Genomic DNA, 7,568 nt, shown 5'->3' on the forward strand with positions numbered 1-7,568 from the left:
GGAATGCCACACACACACACACCAGGGAAGACTCTGGGGCAGAATGTGTTCGTCACCCTTAAAGTGGCACCCTGGCAGTGTAAGTTGAATCTGAGCTCCCACGGAACTGGGGGAGCTGTCCAGCAAACGGCTGTTGAAATCAGAGGTAAGCTGGGTGCAGGGACACAGGCATCAGCAGCATCTGCCCCTCATGAAAAGTTCATATTTATAATAAAATCTAATCGTTGTGTTCTAACATGACTGCTGGCCAAACTGTCCCCCTTTTCGTGGCATGGATGTGACCTCTAATTATGCAATATTCTGCATGTCATTTTTAAAACAGCTTTGTTGAGATAGCGTCAATATACCATACAATTCACCTAAAGTGGACAATTCAATGGATTTTTAGTGTATTTTAGTATTTTCACTAATGACTAATCATATTGAGTCTTTTTTCATGTGCTTGTTGGACATGTGATATCTTCCTCGGTGAAATGTCTATTCAAATCCTTTGCTTCCAATCATTAAATTGGGCAATATGTCTTTTTGTTATAATATTAAATTGTAAATGTTCTCTATGTATTCCAGATACATGTCCCTTATCAGATATCTGATTTGTAATTACTTTCTCCCATTCTTTGTGTTGTCTTCTCATTTTTGTGGCATCTTTTAAAACACAAAAGTTGTTAATTTTGAGGAAGTCCAATTTACTTTTTTTTTTTTTTTTTTGAGACAGTGTCTCGTTCGCTCTGTTGCCCAGGCTGGAGTGCAGTGGTGCAATCTCAGCTCACTACAACCTCTGATACCTGGGTTCAAGCAATTCTCTTGTCTCAGCCACTCGAGTAGCTGGGATTATAGGCGTGCACCACCACACCTGGCTAATTTTTGTATTATTAGTAGAGGAGACAGGGTTTTGCCATGTTGGCCAGGCTGGTCTTAAACTCCTGACCTCAGGTGATCCACCTGCCTCAGCCTCCCAAAGTGCTAGGATTACAGGCATGAGCCACCATGCCTGGCCCACTTTTTTTTTCTCTTGTTGCTTGTGCTTTTGAGAGTGGGGAAGGAGTACTGAACCCTGTCAGCTTGTCAGCAAGGAGAAAGGGTGGTAAATTAGTGTATGAAATTTAAGAAAAGCTGTAAAAAATAGTTGACATTTAAGCTGGATCTTGAAGAATAAGGAGGGTATACCAGTCACAAAATTGAGGAAGAGCTTTTCAGGCAAAGAGACCACCTGGGTTCATTATCTCCTAGAATAAGAATCTCCTTGTTACATTTATTATAACTGATTCAAAACAGACACCCCCACATATGCCAACAACATACGGTAAACACTGACAGAGACTGTCATGTCCTACAATTGTTATTAATAAAGCCAATTCATTCATGCAAGATTCAGTTAAAACGTAATGCTGCATCTGTGCAACTCCCCCAGGAAAGTGGGAAGTAGTGTTTGGAGAAGACCAAATAAACACTCATGAGTGATGATGATACCTCTGAGGACACAGATTTTAAGTACTAGGTCCCAGCTGCTCTCTTTGAAGGATGCACACGACCAGAGAATGAAAGCAGGAAAAGGTGGTCAGTGCTCAGCACGTGCCAAGCACAGAGCAGGAAAAGACCTAGTAGATAATGAATGGTCCCTGCCTTATAGTCTAGCTTTACATGTATGACTCATGCCCTTGAAACCACAGACTGGATGTGACCCTGAGGGTAAGAGAAGTTCCCAAAAGGATTAAGAATGTGTTTTTTTCCAACCTAGAAGAATGGTGGCTTGGCATCAGAAATTAAGTCGTTCTGTTGAAAATAAACAGAAGTGGAAATGTATATTCAGGGCAACTTAAACTCATGCTCTTGACAAAATATTTTTTTAAAAAAAGCAAATAAACAAAAGTATTTCTCATGCCCCTCAGTTCATAGACAGAAACTCATACCAACAGGCTTTTTTTTTATTTTAGTAAGAACTGCCAAATGGTGAAACTATTCACAAACACTAGAAATGCATGAGAGTGTCCTCCCGATATTCTTACCTGAATTTTGCATCTTTTTATCTCTTGTCAATCTAGCTGGGAAAACGATATTAAAATCTCATTTTGACTGGCATTTCCCCAACTTCCTAGATGGCTTCACATCTTTTCATGTTTATTAACCATTTGCATCTTCTCTTCAGTAAATTATTATTTATATCCTTTGCCCAATTTTCTTAGGGGTAATTTATCTTTTTCTAGTTAATGTGAAAGTAGTCTTTGTATGTAAGAGATAGTAACTTTACCTATAGCAAATATTTTCATTCTGTTTTTCTTTTAACTTAGTTCAGGGTGTTTTTCCATACTAAATTTTGGATTGCTCATCTTGCTTAAGATCTTTCCACCCCAAGGATCCTAAGTTTTCTTCTATTTCCATATGCATATTTTTAATATTTCTCACACCTACACACACATACATAGTTACATGGAGAGATGGATCATTAATTCACCTAGAATGTGCGTGTGTGTGTGTGTGTGTGTGTGTGTGTGTGTGTGTAGGGATGAGAAGACTCAGTGTTTTCTGAGTTCATATGATCTACATGGGGAATCAGATCTAACATGGACCAAGTGTTAAACCATACTTCCAAGAACAACACTACATTAGTAGGCCACCTGCTAACTTCTGCCTTTCACATTTTCCAGCTTAAAACATCTCCATCCTCCCCATTATGTAAGAAAGAAGTACAGGTGTTTCTGACTGCTCCCTCTCCCATGATCCCATAACCCATCAGTTCTGAAGCTGCATTATCCAACCTTCTGAATCTCTCTGACCACCCTCCAAGTCTTCCAAGTCCCCATGGCCACTCCCTTGCTCCAGGCCACCATCATCTCACCCTGGGTCTTTGCAACACCCTCTGCCCCGGACTCCCTGGCCTACATGCTCAGTCTGTCTAATTCATTCTCCACCCTGCAACCAGGAATATTTCTAAAATGCAGACCCCATCTCATTCCTGCCCTACCTATGTTTCTTCCACAGTCCCCATTGCTGTCAAGGTACTGTCCAAATTCTCACATCTGGCTGAGGCTGTCCTTCAGGATTCAGGCACCTCTCAACTTTTTAAGAAACTGTGCAGCCTCATTTCTCAGATTGTGTCTCCTATTTCCATGCTCTGACCAGAGCAGACTACTTTCAGCACTTTCAAAAGCCCAAGATTCTTTTTCAGTGGAGCTCAACTGTGACTATGCCCCAGCTCACCTGTCAAAAATTGCAAACACACTTGTTCAGGTCTTACACCTGGGTGATTCTGACTCCGCGGGTCAAATGGGATCTCCACATCCACAATCTGTGATGACTTCTATGGCCAGGGTGCTCTCTGCCTCCAGGCTGCAGACGTGTGATTCCCTCTGCCTGGAGTCCTCTTCTACCTCCTCCAGCTCCAGCCCCCACCCCACCACCCACCCCAAACTGGATATGACCTCTTCCTCCTTGAAGTCAAAGCATAGGTGCTCCTTCCTCCAGGAACTTTGACAGTCCGGGTTAGGGCTCTTCCTCTTTGCATCCCTGGTTTCCTGGACTTTCCTGATTCAAGCATTTATTGATTCCTCTTCTTCCACCCCAGACTCTGAGTTCGGGGAAGCCTGAGATAGTGGCTGTTGTCTTGCTCACCACTGTATTTCCTGCACTCAGCAGAGACCTGACACATAGTAGGCGCTCAATAAATGTTTGCTAAACAACAACAACAAATGAATGAACTAACAAATAAACAAACAAATGAACAGATGAGTGGATGCCTGTGGCAGTTTCCATGACAAACACAAAGGGCTAAGCCAAGCCAGCAAGCAGACAGCCGTGCGGCCTGCAGAGGGCACTAGTCTGCTTCTTAATCTCCCTGCAGAATCCTCAGGGCCAGGTACCTGCTGTCAGTCAGAGAGGTGCCCGATGCTCAGTGGTCATTCTGCTGCGCTGAAGATTAAGTAGGAGTTGTTTGCCCTTGGCCAATATGAAAAACCTGAGTGTTCTCCCTTCACTTCTAGCGACAAGTAACACATCCCCTGTCTTGCCATGAAAAGAGCTGTAACTGTAGCAGCCGGTGGCAGGTTTTCTGTTCCCAGGTGGGGAAGTGAGGAGAGACAAACAGAGGGGTGAGAGGGAGACAGAAGGAAGACAGCTGGTAAGAGACCCTATGGTGTATTTTTTCTATGTAAACAAGATAAAAACTGCTCCTCCTGGAACAGCAAAGTTCTCCCTATGTCTCCAAGCTACAAACTTGCATGCTAGCTACTAACTAGCTACTCTCCCTCTCTCTCTCTCTTCCCCCTTCGCTCTTTCTCTCTGTGTGTATGTCTCTCTCTCTCTCTGTCTCTTCCTCCACCCTCTCTCACTATCTGTCTCTCTACCCTCCCCATCCTTTTATTCTAGAGGAGAATAAACTCTAAGGCCAGATTGAATGAGCATCCAAAAGACGTATCTGGAGGGAGATTTTGTCTTTCCTGTGAGCAGCAGCAGCTTCCTACGGACCCTGCTGGAGCCCCAGCTCGGATCAGCCCTTCTGACAGCAATGAATGCTTCGTGCTGCCTGCCCTCTGTTCAGCCAACACTGCCTAATGGCTCGGAGCACCTCCAAGCCCCTTTCTTCAGCAACCAGAGCAGCAGCGCCTTCTGTGAGCAGGTCTTCATCAAGCCCGAGGTTTTCCTGTCTCTGGGCATCGTCAGTCTGCTGGAAAACATCCTGGTTATCCTGGCCGTGGTCAGGAACGGCAACCTGCACTCCCCGATGTACTTCTTTCTCTGCAGCCTGGCGGTGGCCGACATGCTGGTAAGTGTGTCCAATGCCCTGGAGACCATCATGATCGCCATCGTCCACAGCGACTACCTGACCTTCGAGGACCAGTTTATCCAGCACATGGACAACATCTTCGACTCCATGATCTGCATCTCCCTGGTGGCCTCCATCTGCAACCTCCTGGCCATCGCCGTCGACAGGTACGTCACCATCTTTTACGCGCTCCGCTACCACAGCATCATGACCGTGAGGAAGGCCCTCACCTTGATCGTGGCCATCTGGGTCTGCTGCGGCGTCTGTGGCGTGGTGTTCATCGTCTACTCGGAGAGCAAAATGGTCATTGTGTGCCTCATCACCATGTTCTTCGCCATGATGCTCCTCATGGGCACCCTCTACGTGCACATGTTCCTCTTTGCGCGGCTGCACGTCAAGCGCATAGCAGCACTGCCACCTGCCGACGGGGTGGCCCCACAGCAACACTCATGCATGAAGGGGGCAGTCACCATCACCATTCTCCTGGGCGTGTTCATCTTCTGCTGGGCCCCCTTCTTCCTCCACCTGGTCCTCATCATCACCTGCCCCACCAACCCCTACTGCATCTGCTACACTGCCCACTTCAACACCTACCTGGTCCTCATCATGTGCAACTCCGTCATCGACCCACTCATCTACGCTTTCCGGAGCCTGGAATTGCGCAACACCTTTAGGGAGATTCTCTGTGGCTGCAACGGCATGAACTTGGGATAGGATGCAGGGCCATGGAAATGATCATCAGTCGGGTCACTTTTGACTTTCCATCCACGTGAGGTGTTTAGAAAGAAAAATATATATACTTAGAAAATATAAAAATGTGTTAACAGCCATGATTGTACTTGTCGTTTGTTTTTAAGTTTACAAAGCCTTTTAAAGGGGAAAATTGGTGAACAACAGATTCTCTGAAAGGATTCCAAGATGGGTAAGTCACAAACTCTGATTTCCCAAATAGTCACTGGGAGAAATCAGCGAAGGCTTCTCTGCATGCTCTCTGCACTCATTTCCAAACACCCAGGGTGTGCGACGCCTGTCTGCTCATCTGCTCCACACCCACGTCTTCATGCTCCAGGCCAGACCAGACTGAAGGATTCTCATGAACAATAAGGGTGGTTCAGATCTCTTGCAAGCAAACCTGTTACAGCTACGACCTCCTGCTGCCAGCTACACGGAGAGATAGCTTTGCACTTATAACTCCGTAGGAGACTGAGTTCTACTCTATTATTCTATTTACAGTTAGACAATTGTCTCTTTGTGAAAGGAGCAATGCTATGCCGTTTTCCCCTTTTCTTACCCCCATATCCCTTCAGTTGTCCCCACCCCCAAAGGTAGCATGAGGATGTAACCCACTTCTATTTTTCTGTTGTTGTGTTGGTGTGTGTTGTTGTTTTGTTTTTATGGATTAAATCTAAGACAACCTTCAAAACTCTAACGAAAGAGAGAAAGTGCTTTGGACAATCAGAATATACTTGTGTACGTGTATTTTGATACCTTGCTATTTTAAGGTATAGATTAATCTTTTTAAAATAACTTCTTTTTTTCTATCATTTACTTTTAGCCTTTAAAACAAGAAAGGAAATCATGGGTTGGGGTACATGTATATACGTGTGTGTGTGTGTGTGTGTGTGTGTGTGTGTGTGTGTGTATCACAAGAAATTGCTTTACTGTAGCTTAAGATAGTTTGAGAAACCGTAGAACCACTGTGTGACTTTCTTGGGAGCCCTTGTTTTTGCTTATAGTAATTGCATCTCTATCACAGGACTTCTTCAATATTATCTATGAAAGAGAAAGTTTTTTTGTTCTTTTCCCTTTTTGCTTGGCATTGTGTTAAAGTTGAGTGACCCTGTTATCAATGTCTATATCCTATCAAGTACAGGAATTCATTCCTGGGAGCAAAGGGTGAGACTGGCTGACTAGTGCTCGCATTGTCAGATCCTTTTCTGCCCAAGATAACTTCAATTTGTGCTTTCTGGCTGTCCCCATATCTCCCCCTGTCACAAATTCTTATATTAAGCTGTGTCTTGGGGTGCAATTGTGTGTTTATCTTGCACTAGCATATACTGGGGTTCTTTAATACTTGAAGATTTTCTGCTAATATAAGCAAAACCATTCCTTTCTTGCTTTGGTTATGATGTTTGGAAATAATAAAAAGCTTTTATGGCTGCTAAACGTGTGTTACATTGAAATACACCCTGGAATCATTCTGGTGACTCCTGCACACGGCCATGGTATGTTTCACTGCAATTCAGTGATGACTTTGTAAGTGGCATAAACAGCTCCATTGATCACAGTGCTAGTCTTTTCTAGGGCAATGCCTTTTAGCCAAACTACAAAACTCTCCCATTTAGTTTCCAAAAATACCAGGTTTGTGGTTCCCGGGCCACTGTCGTTCTCCATTATTTTAATCAAGACACTAAATTACAGGACTTTCCATGGCCGCTCAGTGGGTAAATGTAGAGAATGGGGAATCTAATTACTTGAAAGTGATATGAATAGCTATAGGGATTATGTCTTTTTTCTATGTAAACAAGATAAAAATAACTTACTTTTCACTCTTATATCAGTTTTCACACTATTTCATTTTATCCCATTAGCAAACCTCTAAAATAGGTGAGTCATTTTACAAATGAAGAAATTTAGCCTTGGAGGGGTGATATGGTTGTCCAGGAGCACCCACCTAGTTAGGGTCATGGTATATTCTGCATCCTGGGGCTGATGTCCTTTTGCACCAATATGCTGCTGCCAGCAGGTTTTCATCATCAAAACTAGTCCCCCTCTCCTCCCTGTATGTTTTAGCTTGCAGGGGCACTTC

At 44.1% G+C, this 7,568-nt stretch overlaps 1 protein-coding gene across 1 annotated transcript, besides 1 other annotated feature; it reads left to right on the plus strand.

The window, feature by feature from the left end:
* Positions 3,791-3,860: a silencer, noted in NCBI's record as "silent region_13056". NCBI's record gives its function as "represses an Ori minimal core promoter by ATAC-STARR-seq in GM12878 lymphoblastoid cells {active_cell/tissue: GM12878}" and the evidence as "EXISTENCE:reporter gene assay evidence [ECO:0000049][PMID:35858748]".
* On the plus strand, positions 4,390-5,473 carry MC3R (melanocortin 3 receptor). Its single transcript, NM_019888.3, has one exon. It carries the CDS (start codon positions 4,502-4,504, stop codon positions 5,471-5,473), a length of 972 nt encoding a protein of 323 aa, NP_063941.3. The 5' UTR covers positions 4,390-4,501.

The sequence above is a fragment of the Homo sapiens genome, chromosome 20 (genome assembly GCF_000001405.40).
Source record: "Homo sapiens chromosome 20, GRCh38.p14 Primary Assembly".
Classification (NCBI taxonomy): Eukaryota; Metazoa; Chordata; class Mammalia; order Primates; family Hominidae; genus Homo; species Homo sapiens.